Below are 16782 nucleotides of genomic sequence, written 5' to 3'. Positions count from 1 at the left end.
TTGTTTTGGTGTAATGATATGCATTGGAGTTCTTTCTATATCACTACACAGAATGTTTTCTCTTTTTGTTTGTTTGTTTATAACCTCAAGGGATGCCATCACATAGTTGTGCTAAAGTTTATGTAAACAGACTCTATCAATGGACTTTTGAAGTAGTTCCAATATTTTGCTATTAAAAACAATGTTATGGTTAATAACCTTGTAAGTATATTATTTCACACATGCAAATGTATGGTATATATAGGATAAATTCTCAGAAGGGGAATTGCTGTGTTAAAGGGCAAATACATTGTTAATGTGTTAAATATTGCCAAATTGCTTTGCATACTGATTGTACTGACATATTTTCAACACTAATGTATTAAAGTATCTATTTTCTTTTGAGAAGTGTCTGCTCATGTCCTTCGCCCACTTTTTGATGGGGTTGTTTGTTTTTTTCTTGTAAATTTGTTTGAGTTCATTGTAGATTCTGGATATTAGCCCTTTGTCAGATGAGTAGGTTGCGAAAATTTTCTCCCATGTTGTAGGTTGCCTGTTCACTCTGATGGTAGTTTCTTTTGCTGTGCAGAAGCTCTTTAGTTTAATTAGATCCCATTTGTCAATTTTGGCTTTTGTTGCCATTGCTTTTGGTGTTTTGGACATGAAGTCCTTGCCCACGCCTATGTCCTGAATGGTAATGCCTAGGTTTTCTTCTAGGGTTTCTATGGTTTTAGGTCTAACGTTTAAACCTTTAACCCATCTTGAGTTGATTTTTGTATAAGGTGTAAGGAAGGGATCCAGTTTCAGCTTTCTACATATGGCTAGCCAGTTTTCCCAGCACCATTTATTAAATAGGGAATCCTTTCCCCATTGCTTGTTTTTCTCAGGTTTGTCAAAGATCAGATAGTTGTAGATATGCGGCATTATTTCTGAGGGCTCTGTTCTGTTCCATTGATCTATATCTCTGTTTTGGTACCAGTACCATGCTGTTTTGGTTACTGTAGCCTTGTAGTATAGTTTGAAGTCAGGTAGTGTGATGCCTCCAGCTTTGTTCTTTTGGCTTAGGATTGACTTGGCGATGCGGGCTCTTTTTTGGTTCCATATGAACTTTAAAGTAGTTTTTTCCAATTCTGTGAAGAAAGTCATTGGTAGCTTGATGGGGATGGCATTGAATCTGTAAATTACCTTGGGCAGTATGGCCATTTTCACGATATTGATTCTTCCTACCCATGAGCATGGAATGTTCTTCCATTTGTTTGTGTCCTCTTTTATTTCCTTGAGCAGTGGTTTGTAGTTCTCCTTGAAGAGGTCCTTCACATCCCTTGTAAGTTGGATTCCTAGGTATTTTATTCTCTTTGAAGCAATTGTGAATGGGAGTTCACTCATGATTTGGCTCTCTGTTTGTAAAAAACACATGAAGAAATGCTCATCATCACTGGCCATCAGAGAAATGCAAATCAAAACCACTATGAGATATCATCTCACACCAGTTAGAATGGCAATCATTAAAAAGTCAGGAAACAACAGGTGCTGGAGAGGATGTGGAGAAATAGGAACACTTTTACACTGTTGGTGGGACTGTAAACTAGTTCAACCATTGTGGAAGTCAGTGTGGCGATTCCTCAGGGATCTAGAACTAGAAATACCATTTGACCCAGCCATCCCATTACTGGGTATATACCCAAAGGACTATAAATCATGCTGCTATAAAGACACATGCACACGTATGTTTATTGCGGCACTATTCACAATAGCAAAGACTTGGAGCCAACCCAAATGTCCAACAATGATAGACTGGATTAAGAAAATGTGGCACATATACACCATGGAATACTATGCAGCCATAAAAAATGATGAGTTCATGTCCTTTGTAGGGACATGGATGAAATTGGAAACCATCATTCTCAGTAAACTATCGCAAGAACAAAAAACCAAACACCGCATATTCTCACTCATAGGTGGGAATTGAACAATGAGATCACATGGACACAGGAAGGGGAATATCACACTCTGGGGACTGTGGTGGGGTCGGGGGAGGGGGGAGGGATAGCATTGGGAGATATACCTAATGCTAGATGACACGTTAGTGGGTGCAGCGCACCAGCATGGCACATGTATACATATGTAACTAACCTGCACAATGTGCACATGTACCCTAAAACTTAGAGTATAATAAAAAAAAAAACATTAAAAAAAAAAAGTATCTATTTTCCCACAGATCAAAAGCACAGGCTTTATTATTTATAGACTATTCTAAACACTTTTTCCATTTTGATGCTTTTATCTATGCTGTTCTTTGCACCTGGAATGCCCGTCACTTAGCTTGGCCTGTTGGAACACTATCCAGTCTTCATGACTTTATGTATAGGAGTGGAGAGAGAAAAGTGACCCAGGGAAGGGAAACTTTTTATGCTCAGTTGATGGCTCTTAGTGAACAGACTCCTTGCTGTTTTGCTTCTGTCTGCTCATTTAACCTGTGGTACTATGTGTTTTTTCTTCTTGGCGACTGTTAGGAAAAATTCATTTTTGTTTCCTTTATTTTCAGACGGGAACATTTAAAGGACAGAACGGTGAATATTTCTTAGAACCTATAATGAAGGCAGATGGGAATGAATATGAAGATGGTCACAACAAGCCACATCTTATATACAGACAAGACTTAAATAACTCTTTTCTGCAGACTCTGAAGTATTGCAGTGTGTCAGGTAAACTGTGAAATAGAACTCTTTTCAGCTAAATAGTGATACTATTTAAATCTTTTTTTATAGGTTATAATTTATATATTTCCCTTCAATATTTTATTTATTTTTAATTAATTTTTTAAATTCAGAAATAAAAATTGTGTATGTTTAGCATGTATGACATGTTGCTTTGAAGTATGCATACATTGTGGAATGGCTTAATCAAACTAATTAACAAATGCATTAGCTCATGTACTTATTTTTCTTTTTTTTGTGGTGAGAACACTTAAAATCTACTCTTAGCAGTTTTCAAGAATACACTGCATTGTTATTAACTATAGTCACCATGTACAGTACAGTAGCCTATTCCTTGTATGTAACTGAAATTTTATGCCCTTTGAACAACATCTTTCCTTCCCGCCTGCAACTGTAGCCTCTGGTAACCACCATTCCACTCTTTACATCTATGAGTTCAACTCTTTTAGATTCCACATATAAATAAGGTCATATGATATTTCTTAAATATTGAAGGACATGATCTTTTAAACAATCTTTTCACCTGTATGGATGCATGAGAGATTTTTCTGTCTGTAGATAACTTTTTTTGTAATAAGCTAAATTTGAATCCCAAAAGTTTTTCAGTATATGAGATTGGTAGCAAATAATCATAGAAAAATTTTACTTTAATCTGTTAGTCACATTAGTATTATTTAATTTTTTTCAGCAGGATTTTAGATGAAAAAAAAATTCCTGAACCTAAGTAACAGTAAAAACACATTGCTCAATTTTGCATGGTTTTAACTTTATATAAATTGGAAACATATTTTATATAGTTTTCTGTGATTTATCTTTTTTGCTTAGTATTGTTTCTGGGGTTCATCTATTTTGGTGCATGTAGGAACAGTTCATTTATTTTCATTGTTGTACAACATTTCATTGTTTGAGGGTAACACAGTTCATATATCAATTTTCCTGTTGATCTTTTGGGCTGTTTGCAGTTTTTTGGTGTTAGAGGCAATGCTGCTGTAAATATTCTTGTCCCCATCTCCTGTTTTTGAGAGTTTCTCCAGGATATATACCTAGATACTAGATAATTCCACATTGTTTTACAAAGTGATTTTTAAATCAATATTATAGTTTCACCAATCTATGAGAGAGGTATATTTTCATCATTTTTTTCTATAAAATTTAGACTACTGAAGATTTATAATAGATTAGAATCTAAGAAGCATAGATTTCTACAAAGAGTATATCTGTGGCTGGTAAAATACTTACATATTGTATAAAAGTTGTATTTATTAAGAGTTGTGTCCATATAAGGTACATGTATCTTCATGATTCATAGAATGACATGCAACGATATGATGGAGAAAAGGCACCTGCAGTTACCATCAAAGTACAAAATCTAGACAAAAGGGTGGGATTAGCAAGGATTTATTTGAGATCGTAGGTGTCCGTAAACTATAGTTCCAAACACTGTGATGCCATCTGTTTTGAGATATAATGATATGTAGGCCTTTGATGGTTTTCCTTGGGAATGAACTTCTTAACCTTTAGAGTGGTTCTCACTGTGTCTAAGGCCGTGTTTTAAATCTATTGACATAATAGATGCCTTTCTTATGCTTTTAATATGAGCATAAGGGTTTCATTTTTATGGCTTCAAAGAAAACACAAATGGGTACAGTTCCACAATAGAATTCTACAGAAGGCAGCTTATGCTTGTTCTGATCTACTATTCAAGAGCAGCTTGTTTAATGAATTGTTTAGCTTCTTAAGAAGAAAACCACAAAGTAATATTCTGAATACATAAATGTTTCAAATAATTTGGAAGGTTTTGCATTCACAAGCAAGAATATAATTCAAGGAAAGCTAGGCTTTTTTTTTGTTAAACAGTTTTATACTAAAGATTTACTAGAAAGCTACAAATAAAAAGCAAATAGAAAGCTACGTAATTTCATTTTCTTTTAATCATAAAATACATTTTTTCTACAATATTTATCTAACAAAATGTAAAAGGTAGTATCCTTTTCAAGTCTTAAATTGCCTCCAATTTTAGGTACAATCAGCATACACATTTTTAATCACTAATAAAGGCAATTAATTAATGACCTAAAAATTAGCTAACAAATACTCATATTTTAGTAAAAGTGGAGCATTGCAAATGCAATTAAAATTATCTAAGGTATTTTTTTCCTCCCTCAGTTCACATGTTGTTTAGAAATACTTGAAGGTTTTATATATTCTTCTTAAAAGTTTTAATAGCTTTTGGAGTACTAGTGGTTTTTGGTTACATAGATGAATTATATAGTGGTGAATTCTGATATTTTAGTGCACTTGTCACCCAAGTAGTGTACCTTGCACCTCATATGTAGATTTTTATTCCGCACCCCCCTCCTACCCTCCCGCTTCTGAGTCTCCAAAGTCCATTATATCACTCGGTATGCCTTTGCATACTCATAGCGTAGCTCCCACTTATAAGTGAGAACGTATGGTATTTGGTTTTTCATTCCTGAAATTACTTCCCTTAGAATGATGGCCCCCAGCTCCATCCAACTTGCTGCAAAGGACATTATTTCATGCCTTTTTGTGGCTGAGTAGTATTCCATGGTGTATATGTACCACATTTTCTTTATCCACTTGTTGGTTAGCAGGCACGTAGGTTGGTTTCATATCTTTGCAACTGTGAATTTGACTGCAATAAACATATGTGTGCATGTGTCTCTTTCATATAATGATTTCTTTTCCATTGGGTAGATGCCCAGTCATCATATTAGCTGGATCAATCGGTGGATCTACTTTTAGTTCTTTAAGGAATCTCCATACAGGTTTCCATGGAGGTTGTACTAATTTATATTCCCATCAGAAGTGTATCAGCATTCCCCTTTCACTACATCCATGCCAATATCTATTGTTTTTTGACTTTTTAATAATGGCCATTCTTACAGGAGCAAGGTAGTATCCCAATGTGGTTTTAATTTGCATTTTCCTGATGATTAGTGATGTTGAGCACTTTTTCATATGTTTGGCCATTTGTATATCTTCTTTTGAGAACTGTCTATTCATGGACTTTGCCCACTTTTTAATGGAATTATTTGCTTTTTTTCTTGCTGATTTATTTTAGTTTCTTGTAGATTTTGGATACCAGTCTTTTGTCAGATGCATAGTTTGCAAATATATTCTCCAATTCTCTGGGCTGTCTGTTTACTCTGATGATTATTTCTTTTGCTGTGCAGAAGCTTTTGGATTATTCAAGTTCCATTTATTTTTGTTTTTGTCGTGTTTGCTTTTTGGGTCTTAGTCATAAATTCTTTGCCTAGGCCAATGTCCAGAAGAGTTTTCCCTAGGGTTTCTTCTAGGATTTTTATGGTTTCAGGTCTTAGATTTAAGACTTTAATCCATCTTGAGTTGATTTTTGTACAAGGGGAGAGATAGGGATCCATTTTCATTCTTCTACAGGTGACTATCTAACTCTCCCACTATTTATTAAACAGGGCACCCGTTTTCCAATTTATGTAGTATGCTTTGTCAAAGATCAGTTAGTTGTAAGTATTTGGCTTTATTTGTAGGTTCTCTATTCTGTTCCATTGGTCTATGTGCCTACTTTTATGCCAGTACCATACTGTTTTGGTTACTATAGCCTTGTAGTATAATTGGAAGTTGGGTATATATTGCTTCCGGATTTGTGTTTTTTTTTTTTTTTTTTTTTTTTTTGCTTAGGATTGCCTTGGCTGTTGGTCTCCTTTTTAGTTCCATATGAATTTTAGGATTTTTTTCCTAATTCTTTGAAAATGAATTTTTGGCAATGTGGTCATTTTTCAGGATATTTTCCAATCCATGAGCATGGGATGTATTTCTGTTTGTTTGTTATTCATTTATGCTTTCTTTCAGCAGTGTTTTGTAGTTCTTGTTGAGATCTTTCACCTCCTTGGTTAAGTGTATTTCTAAGTATTTTATTTTATTTTTTGCAGCTATTGTAAAAGGGATTGAGTTCTTGATTTGGCTCTCAGCTTGATTGTTTTTGGTGTATAGCAGTGCTACTGGTTTGTTTATGTTGATTTTATAACCTGAGACTTTACTGAATTTGTTTATTAAATCTAGGAGTCTTTTGGAGTACTGTTTAGTCTTTTCTAGGTATACAATCATATCATTGGTAAACAGAGATAGTTGGACTTCCTCTTTTCCAATTTGGATGCCCTTTATTTCTTTCTCTTGCCTGATTGTTCTGCCTAGGATTTCCAGTATTATATTGAGTAGAAGTGGTAAAAGTGGGCCTCCTTGCCTTGTTCCAGTTCTCAGGGGGAATGCTTTCAACTTTTCCCCATTCAGTGTGATGTTTGCTGTAAGTGTGTTAAATATGGCTTTTATTATTTTGAGGTATGTTCCTTCTATGCCTAGTTTGTTGAGGGATTTTAGCATAAAGAGATGCTGGATTTTTTTCAAGTGCTTTTTCTACATCTGTTGAGATCATATGGTTTTTGTTTCTAATTCTGTTTATGTGATATATTACCTTTATTGACTTGTGTATGTTAAACCATCCCTGGATCCTTGGATGAAACACTCTTGATTATGGTGTATTATCTTTTTGATGTCTTTTTGGATTTGGTTAGCCAGTACTTTGTTGAGGATTTTTGTTTCATTTTTATCAGGGATATTGGTCTGTGTTTTCTTTTTTTGTTATGTCATTTCCTGGTTTTGGTATCAGAGTGATGCTGACTTCATAGGATATTTATGGAGGATTCCCTGTTTCTCAATTTTTGAAATTGTTTTATTAGGATTGGTACCAATTCTTCTGTGAATAGACGTGTGGTAGAATTCAACTGTGAATCTATCTGGCCCTGGGCTTGTCGTTGTTTGCAATTGTTAAAATTACTGATTCAGTTTTACTGCATGTTATTGGTCTGTGTAGGGTTTCTATTTCTTCCTGATTTACTCTACGATGGTTGTATGGTTCCAGGAATTTATCTGTTTTCTCTGGGCTTTCTAGTTTGTGTGCATACAGGTATTCATAGTAATATTGAATGATCTTTGTATTTCTGTGGCATCAGTTGTAATGTCCTTAGTTTCATTTCTAATTGAGCTTATTTGATTCTTCTCTCTTCTTTTCTTGGATAATCTCACTAATGGTCTATTAATTTTGTTTATCTTTTCAAAGAACCAGGTTTTTGTTTCATTGATTTTTTTTTGTATTGTTTTTGTGGTTTCAATTTCATTCGGTTTTGCTCTGAACTTTGTTATTTATTTTCTTCTACTAGCTTTGGATTTAGTTTGTTCTTATTTCTCTAGTTCCTTGAGGTGTATATTAGATTGTTAACTTGTGATCTCTCAGACTTTTTGATGTACAAATTTAGTGCAATAAACATTCCTCTTAGCACTACTTTTGCCCTGTCCCAAAGATTTTGATAACTTGTGTCACTATTATCATTCATTTTAAATAGTTTATGAATTTCCATCTTGATTTCATTGTTAACCTAAAAATCATTCAGGAGCAGATTGTTTAATTTCCATGTATTTGTGTAGTTTAGGGGTTCCTTTTGGAGTTGATTTCTTGTTTTACTTCACTGTGGTCTGAGAAGATATTTGATATGATTCCTATTTTTTTTTTGAGACGGAGTATTGCTCTGTCACTCAGGCTGGAGTGCAGTGGCACGATCTCGGCTCACCACAAGCTCCGCCTTCCGGGTTCACACCATTCTCCTGCCTCAGCCTCCCGAGTAGCTGGGATTACAGGTGCCCGCCACCACGCCTGGCTAATTTCTTTTTGTATTTTTAGTACAGACGGGGTTTCACTGTGTTAGCCAGGATGGTCTCCATCTCCTGACCTCGTGATCCACCCACCTCGGCCTCCCGTAGTGCTGGATTACAGGCGTGAGCCACTGCGCGCCTGGCCGATATCATTCCTATTTTTAAAAATGTATTGAGATTTGTTTTGTGGCCTACCATATGGTCTATCTTAGAAAATGTTCCATGTGCTGATGAGAAGAATGTGTATTCTGCAGTTTTGGGGTAGAATATTCTGTACATATATCTTACGTTCCTTTGTTCTAGAGTGTACGTTAAGCCTAGTGTTTCTATGTTGCCTTGCTGTCTTGATGATTTGTCTAGTGCTGTCAGTGGAGTATTGAATTCCCCCATTATTATTACGTTGCTGTCTATCTCATTTCTCAGGTCTAGTAGTAATTGTTTTATGAGTCTGGGAGCTCCAGTGTTAGGTGCATTTAATTTACGGTTGTAATTTCTTCTTGTTAGATTGATCCTTTTATCATTATATAATTACCTTCTTTGACTTTTTTTCTTTTTATACTGTTGCTGCTTTAAAGTCTGTTTTATCTGATATAAGACTGACTACTGCTCACTTTTGGTTTCCATTTGCATTCAATGTATTTTTCCACCTCTTTACCTTGAGTTTATATGAATCCTTGTGTTAGGTGAGTCTCTTGAAGACAGTAGATATTTGGTTTGTGATTTTTAAAAATCCATTCTGCCCATCTGTATCTTTTAAGTGGAGAATGTAGGCCATTTACTTTCAGTCATAATATTGAGATGTGAGATACTGTTCCATTCATCATGTTAATTGTTACCTAGATACTTTTTTCGTTGTGTAATTGTTTCATAGGCCCTGTATTATGCTTTCAAGAGATTCTATTTTGGTGCATATTAAGCTTTTGTTTCAAGATTTAGAACTCCTTTCAGCATTTCTTATAGGGATGGTCTGGTAGTAACAAATTCCTTCAGCATTTGTTTGTCTGAAAATGATTTTATTTCCTCTTCATTTATGAAATTTATTGTTGGATACAAAATTGTTAACTGACAGTTGTCCTGTCTAAGGAGGCTAAAGCTAAAACCCAAAATCCCTTCTTGCTTGCAAGGTTTCTGCTGAGAAGTCTACTGTTAGTCTGATAGGATTTCCTTTATAGGTTCCCAGATGCTTTTGTCTCATAGCTCTTAGAATTCTTTCTTTTATGTTTACTTTAGACAGCCTGATGACTATATGCACTGATGATGACCTTTTTGCAATAAGTCTCCCAGGAGTGCTTTGAGCTTCTTGTATTTTGACATCTAAATCTCTAGTAAGGCCTGGGAAGTTTTCCTCAATTATTTTCTTAAACAAAATTTCAAAAGTTTTTGCTTTCTCTTCCCACTCATAAACACCATTTATTCTTAGGTTTGGCTATTTTACCTAATCCCAGACTTGGATTGTTTTACATAATCTTAGAAGCTGTGTTCATTTCTCTTAATTATTTTTTGCTTCATTTTTGTCTGATTAGATTAATTTGAAAGCCTTGTCTCTGAGCTCTGAAATGCTTCATTGTAATTGTTCTAGTCTGCTGTTGAAAGTTTCCACTGCATTTTGTATTTCCCTAAGTATATCTTTCATTTCTAGAAGTTCTGATTGATTTTTCTTTGATATCTATCTCTTTAAAATTTTTTCCATTCATGCTCTGAATTGTTTTTTAAATTTCTTTATGTTAGTTTTTACTTTTCACCTTTCTTCTTCTTGAGTAACTAAATAGTTAACATTTTGAATTCTTTATCTGGCATTTCAAAGATTTCATCTTGATCTGGATCCATTGCTGGACCGTTAGTGTGTTCTTTTGCATGTTTTATAGAGCCTTGTTTTGTCATATTACCAGAATTATTTTTCTGGTTCCTTCTCATTTGGGTAGAATATTTCTTCTAATTATTCTTGAATTTATTTTTGATTTGTGTTTTTTAATTTCTTTTTTTCCATCTTAAGGGTGTGACTTTAATGTTTACAGTTTACTGTAGTGTAATTAGGCTCTCGTTGCTTTCAGGGGTGAAGACTGTATGAGTTCCTTGATTATAGAGAGCGATAGCTTTCTCAGATGCTGGTTGTAGCAATGTGCTCAGTGTTTGAACAAGTTTGGACAGGCTCAGGACCTCCTGATTAGCCAAGGTAATGCAGAATATTGTGATTGCTGCAGTCATGTGTAAGTTAACTCCTTCCTGGGCACAATGTTTACTTGGAGATGCCGTAATGGACTGTGTCAATTGGCCTCTAGCCAGGAGGTGGTGCTTGAAGAAGAGCACCAGCTACAGTAGCAGTGGTGGGATTTGTGCTTGCCTTATGTTACCCAGGGGAGGTACTCTGGTTTCTTGGGTGATGTATGGGGCCATAAAGCTCCCCCAAAGTGTCTGTCCTTTGTGTTAAGCTACCAGGGTGGTTGGGGGAGGGGGGTGCTGGGGCATGGACAAAGCCAGCTGGGGGCTGGGTCAGGCAAGTCCTTGCTCTGACTCTCTGAGTGTGCGGCAAGGAACAACCCCTCTGGGGGTCAAGGGGTAGGTCTCTGGTCACTGGGGAGATGGTCTCATGTTCTAGAGGAGAGCATAGCTTCCTCTACTGCACAGAAGTATTCACCCAGGGAGTAGGGAGTAACAGGCAGCAGTAAGCCCCACCCAGCTCCTGTGCACTTGGCAAGGTAGATCTCAAAGTCACAATTTTTCTGCTAGCAGCAGCAAGCTAAATTTTAGGCCATCTAAGCTCAGAACCCAACAGCAGCTTTCAAGCCACATCCCTCCCAGGTTGCCTGCACAGCTGGGGTACCCAACTCCTGCACTCTTTCCACTTGCCCCCCACCCCCACCTGGTTCTGGCCAAGGGAGTTCTTCCCCACTTGAGGTTATATCACAAAATTCATTTGGGAGCTTTTTTCAACTTATGACCACTACCTGAGTTAATTGGCAGAACTTCCATGAGGTCCCCTGTGAGACAAAATAAGGAATGGCTTCCGCCGTTCTGCACGGAGACTGGGAATGCATGCAAGACTCTTACCACTCCCTCTCCTACTTTTATATTCCTTTCCTTAAATCAGTTCCAGCTCTGGATATGGTTAAGGCCTTGCCCTGTGACCTGGATTCCCAGGTTTCCTGGTGGGGGTGTATTTCCTGGAGGCAGTCTCTCCCCCTTGCACATTTTGGGGACCAAAGGTCTTATATATTCTAATGGATGAACCTTCAGGAGGTTCCCCAGAGAATCCTTTAAATAGGTGGGCCTACAGATTTAGCACATAAGATGAAGTGATTAAATGGAAAAGGAAAAGTGATATCTTTTTCTGATACAGTATTTCTGTTGATAGTTTTAATTCATTATGACCCTAAAATATTACAATTCATGGTGGTTTCAGCCTTGAATTAAATTGTTTCCAAGGTCAAAGTTCACTGTGTGCCTCAAGGTCATCCAACTTACGTTTGGTAAACCTAGCCACTGTGGATGTCAGGCTCTCAAATAGATATCAGATATATTCTAAATAAAATCCTGTGGAAATGGTAAAGCAAGCAATTAAAAACCCATGAGATGAACAAACACCAACAAAAACCCCCACAAACACCACCATCAAACAAAACTATACAAAATAAAGAAACCCAAGTGAGGAAGGACCCTAAAAAGATTCACAGGAATGAAACAAAGCCTCTGAATTCTGTGAAGTGTAGTTCTGCTATGGCTTGTCTCTAAGGGCAGATCACAACCAGTCTGTGTTCCTCAGGAGACCTCATTAGTTTCGCTCCACTTCCTCTGTCACCCACTCTGTCCCTCTCATCTCAGTGTCATGGGTTAGGATGCAAAGGATTTGTAGAGCAATAAACAGATGACTGGATGGAAGTGAAAATGAAATGTCTTTAGATGGTGACATGCTTTGGCTCTGTGTCCCCACCCAAATCTCACCTTGGACTGTAATCCCCATAATCCCTATGTGTCAAGGGTGGGACCAGGTGGGGGTAATTGGATCATGGAAGTGGCTTCCCTTATGCTGTTCTCATGATAATGAGTGGGTCTCATGAGAACTGATGGTTTTCTAAGTGTCTGGCATTTCCTGTTTGCACTTCTCCTTCCTGCCGCCTTGTGATTAACGTGCCTTGCTTCCTCACTTCACCTTCTGCCATGATTGTAAGTTTCCTGAGGCCTCCCCAGCCATGGTGCACTGAGTCAATTAAACCTCTTTCCTTTATAAATTACCCAGCCTCAGGTATTTCTTCATAGCAGCGTGAGAACGAACTAATACAGCTGGGTATTAAGATGATGTCAGCCAGCTTTAAATTTCTCTGTTTTTCCTAGAAATTTTCTAAATTTATTTATTCTTATAGTCTTTGAGTACCTAATGTTACAGAACGTATAAAGATTGGTTAGAACAGGGCTCTCCAGCCAAGAGGGAATGTGACATTTGTATCTTCTAAGTCCTGATGTGTGTGGAAAAGAGTAACCCATTTACTATATCAGGAGAGTAAGGTGCGGGTGTGTGTGTAGTCTGGGGAGGCAGGCAAGGCGCACAGAGACCAGTTATGAAAGAACTTTAAGGATTTTGTTGCTTACCCCATAGGCATTGGGGAAACAAAAAAAAATTTAAAGCAGAGATATTATCAAAAATGTTTTAAAACAGATATTATATAATTTGCTTTAAAAAATATTTGTATTAGTTGCTGTGGCAGCTTCTAAAAAAATATGTAATTTTGGCTTTGAATGATAAGAGGCCGAAGGTGGGGAGACTGAATTAAAGAAAAAAGCCATCTTATCAACAAAGGATTTAAGTGTCAAACAAGGAAAAGTGCACATAAAGAAGTAAATTGAAGAGAATTTCCTGAAAACATTTTTCTCAACTTTGAAGAGACGTTTATATTTTTTTTGTGAGTAATCTATTTGGAAAATATTTTTGCGAATACATGAGAACTGCCTTTTAAATAAAATTATGTACAGATTATTTCCCATTCCTTTAAATGTAATAATTTAATCAGCATTGGTCTGGAGGAAGTCCAGGGTTTTTAGTTTCAGCAGAGGCCAGAGTTTGCTCAGTAAGCGAGTTCTGGCTGCGCTGCTAACTGGCTTTGAGACCTAAACTTCTCTAGGTCTTACCAAAAGTAGATAATGAATAGCTAATGAATTTAATCAGTTTCCTATTCAACTAATTGGCAAGCTTACGAGTTTTTAACTTATTAACTTTTTAACCTTACAGCTAAAGGGATCAGGCATTTACCAGAAAGGAGTAAGGTGAGGTATCATGAAGGAACTGAGCTGTCCATTGGCCACTGGAATATACATGCTTCTTGCAAAAGATGCTTTGGGAATGTGAGACCAGTATTACCAGATCTTTTGTACTTTACGAAGAAGATGAAAATCTAGATTCTTTTTTTAAAGTGGAAAAAAACAAAAAGAAACATGAGAGCTGAATTTCATTTGCAATCTCTTACTTGATTTCTGAAGCCCCTACTATTTATAACATTTTATAAATGTGTGAGCAGAGAAGAAGGTGCCATTAATTAATGTAGGGACAGAGGATTATAAATATGGCCACGACCATGCCCATTATTGTGTACTATAACTTGTTAATGGTGTTTTAAAGAGTCAGCTTAAGCTTCTAAATCTATGTAGAGATGACTATAGAGATATTCTCCTTTCCAACATGTTTACTGGAACTACTCTTTCAAAGATCACTTATGACCTTCTACTTGCTAAAAGCATTAATCTTTCTTGGTCTTACTGTTACAGTTTTGAGGAACATGTCACACTATCCATCAGCTTATCCTAACTGAATTTTCTTATGTCTTTGGCTTAACTGGCACACTTTGCTTTTAACTTTGCTTCTTTTCTTTCTTTCTTTCCTCCCACTTCCCTTCTTGGTTGTTACTGGTTTCCCATCTCCTAAGTTAAGCATTTTTTAAAGTGCTCTTCCTGGACCACCATTTTAGACTATGTTTTAATTTAGATTATGTATTTTTTTCTACTTTCTTAATTTTAACTACAAATTTAAATGATACATGATGTTAAAACTTTAACTTAAGCGCTTGTTTTTAGATTAAAACTCAGGTCTATAAACTGCCTGATGTGCATGTTTTCTTGGATGTACCAGTGATATCTTAGATTCAGTACAGTTAAGCCTGAAGCCATTCTCTCTCTTTTACCTCTCTCTTCACCTACATCCTCCAAAAGAAGCCTTTTTTGTGCCTAATTTATTTTTTCACATTTAAAAAAATTTTAACTGAGGTATTAGCAAATATAATACAGGCTGTGGTAAAAGAACAAGAACTAGAAATAGTGCAAAACTGCCCAGTTTTTTGTTAAATCATTTCTTTTTTGCCATGGCATTTAATAATTTTGTGTATATTCTAGCAAATTGGGATTATTTGATGACCACTCTTCAGATTTTTTATTTGGGAGGTGGAGAGGCTGCAGGTAGAAAGACCAAGGTGATATTAAGGTTGTAACTTTCAAAATCTGATTGTACAACAGCAAATAAGATAAATTTCTGAATTCGTTATCTCTCTCTTTTGTATATTGAGTACTAACTCTGAAGGAATCAATGTGTAGCATTCAGCTGAAAAGAGAAAATATAGCATAGAGTGAATAAATGAAAAGTTTCTTACCATGGGGTAGGTGTGCCGGGAGAAGAAATGAGAAGGAAAGCCAGAAGAGTGCAGTGGTAAGATGCATACAAGTTTTTCATGCTCCACGTTAGAATATGAGAGTGGAGTTGGACATTGAATAAGTGAAGAAAAAAGTTGATTGCTAAGAGGAGACTCCTGTTCTTGTTCCACATAAGAACTCTGCAAGATGAGGTGTCAACCTTGCCCCAGCATGGGTTTTTTTTTATTTGTTCATTTATTCATAAAATATTTACTGAATACCTTCCTCACTGTTGCAGGACTATCCTGTACAAGTGCAGTGAGGGAGGAAAGAGGGTTGTAGGAAATCAGCAAGAAATTAGTAGAAATAATGGTAGTGGGAGGCCAGATCATGTAGTTATGGGTGGCTCCAGGTTGTGGAATCCTGAAGATTAAACAGTTGCAGTGCTCTTTAATAGAAAATTATGAATACATAATTTTTAGAGACCAAAAGTTTAAGCTTTTTTTAGGTTCATGGTGAATCCACCTCTACATTTAGGACATTTTAAGTCACAGTACTGAATCTGGCTAAACTCTAACAGTGGAAGCTACTGTCAGATATGGAGCATAGTAATGACATAATCAGTCCACATTTTAAAGAGATCACTCAGATTATGTGGGAAAAAAACTAGGGGAACAAGCAAAAGCAAGAAAATCAATTAGGAGGTACTGCAGTATACTGCAATAATTGTGTTAAGAAGTGGTGAGGTGCTGAATCAGGGTGGTAACTATGAAGAAAGCGAGAGGTGTCCAGGTATTGCGTTTATTTTGATGGTCAAGCTGACAGGTAAGTTGTAGGTGAGGGCTGAGAGTAAGAGAGTTGTCAGATTATTCTTTTTTTTTTTTTTTTTTTCCTGAGCCAGTGGAAGGATGGAGTTCTCGTTTACTAAGATGAGGAAGTCTGTGGGAAATACAAGTTCAGGAGGGAATATTAACAACTAGGTTTTAGGCATTTTGAGTTTGAGGTGCCTGTTAGAAATCCAAAGGGAGAGAAGTAGGCAATAGAGTAAGTGAACTGGAACATCAGTAGAGGGGTTTAGGCTTGAGATAAGAATTTAGGAATCAGAATACCAATGATTTTTAAAGATATAAGGCTGAATGAGATTGTCTGGGGAATAGACTAGATAGAGAGACAGAAAAAATAAAAATCCAAAGACTGAACTATGGGGCATGCCAATACTTGGCAGTTGGGGAGATGAGGAGAAATCAACTAGGAAGATTGAAAGGTAGAGGTCAAGGACATTCTAAGAAGACTGAGGAATGTTTGCCCAAAAACCACTTGAGGAAAGATTTACAAGAAGGTAGGACTGATTAGTTGGCTAAATGGTATCAAGAATTCAAAGCACTTGAAGATTTAGAATTGATTACTGGATTTTGCAAAGTAGGTGATTGGTGACCTTAACAAGCTAATTGGAATGTGCTTGAGAATATTTGCATAAGTAAAACTTATAAAACTTAGGTATCATAAAGGAGAGTTAAGAGTTAGATGAATTGTCTTTAGTTCTTCCTTGTTGGAGACTAATCCTATTGTGGTGAAAATCTTCATTAAGAAAAAAGGTGATATATTGAACTTTGGGATATAGCATTAAGTAAAACGAAATTAAATGCCTTTTTGAAAATAAGAACTTGATTTATCAATAATTTGAAACTTTGACTTATTCCTTTATGAAAACCCAAAAACAGTGAAAAATAAAATTATCAATAGCAATGTTAGTAAAACCTTATCTTGTAAA

The 16782-nt window shown here is 36.2% G+C and overlaps 1 protein-coding gene across 2 annotated transcripts in view; it reads left to right on the top strand.

The window, feature by feature from the left end:
• The window catches only part of ADAMTS20 (ADAM metallopeptidase with thrombospondin type 1 motif 20), a 199441-nt gene that overhangs the window by 17484 nt on the left and 165175 nt on the right, over nt 1-16782 (top strand). For both annotated transcript variants that reach the window (XM_011538754.3, NM_025003.5), the window contains exon 3: nt 2525-2684. In XM_011538754.3, coding sequence (XP_011537056.1) covers nt 2525-2684 — 160 coding nt within the window. The remainder of the gene's footprint in view (nt 1-2524; nt 2685-16782) is intronic.

The sequence above is a fragment of the Homo sapiens genome, chromosome 12, assembly GCF_000001405.40.
Source record: "Homo sapiens chromosome 12, GRCh38.p14 Primary Assembly".
NCBI classification, from domain to species: domain Eukaryota; kingdom Metazoa; phylum Chordata; class Mammalia; order Primates; family Hominidae; genus Homo; species Homo sapiens.
The sequence above is the reverse complement of the archived record's forward strand: the minus strand, read 5'-3'. Positions and strand labels throughout refer to the sequence as shown.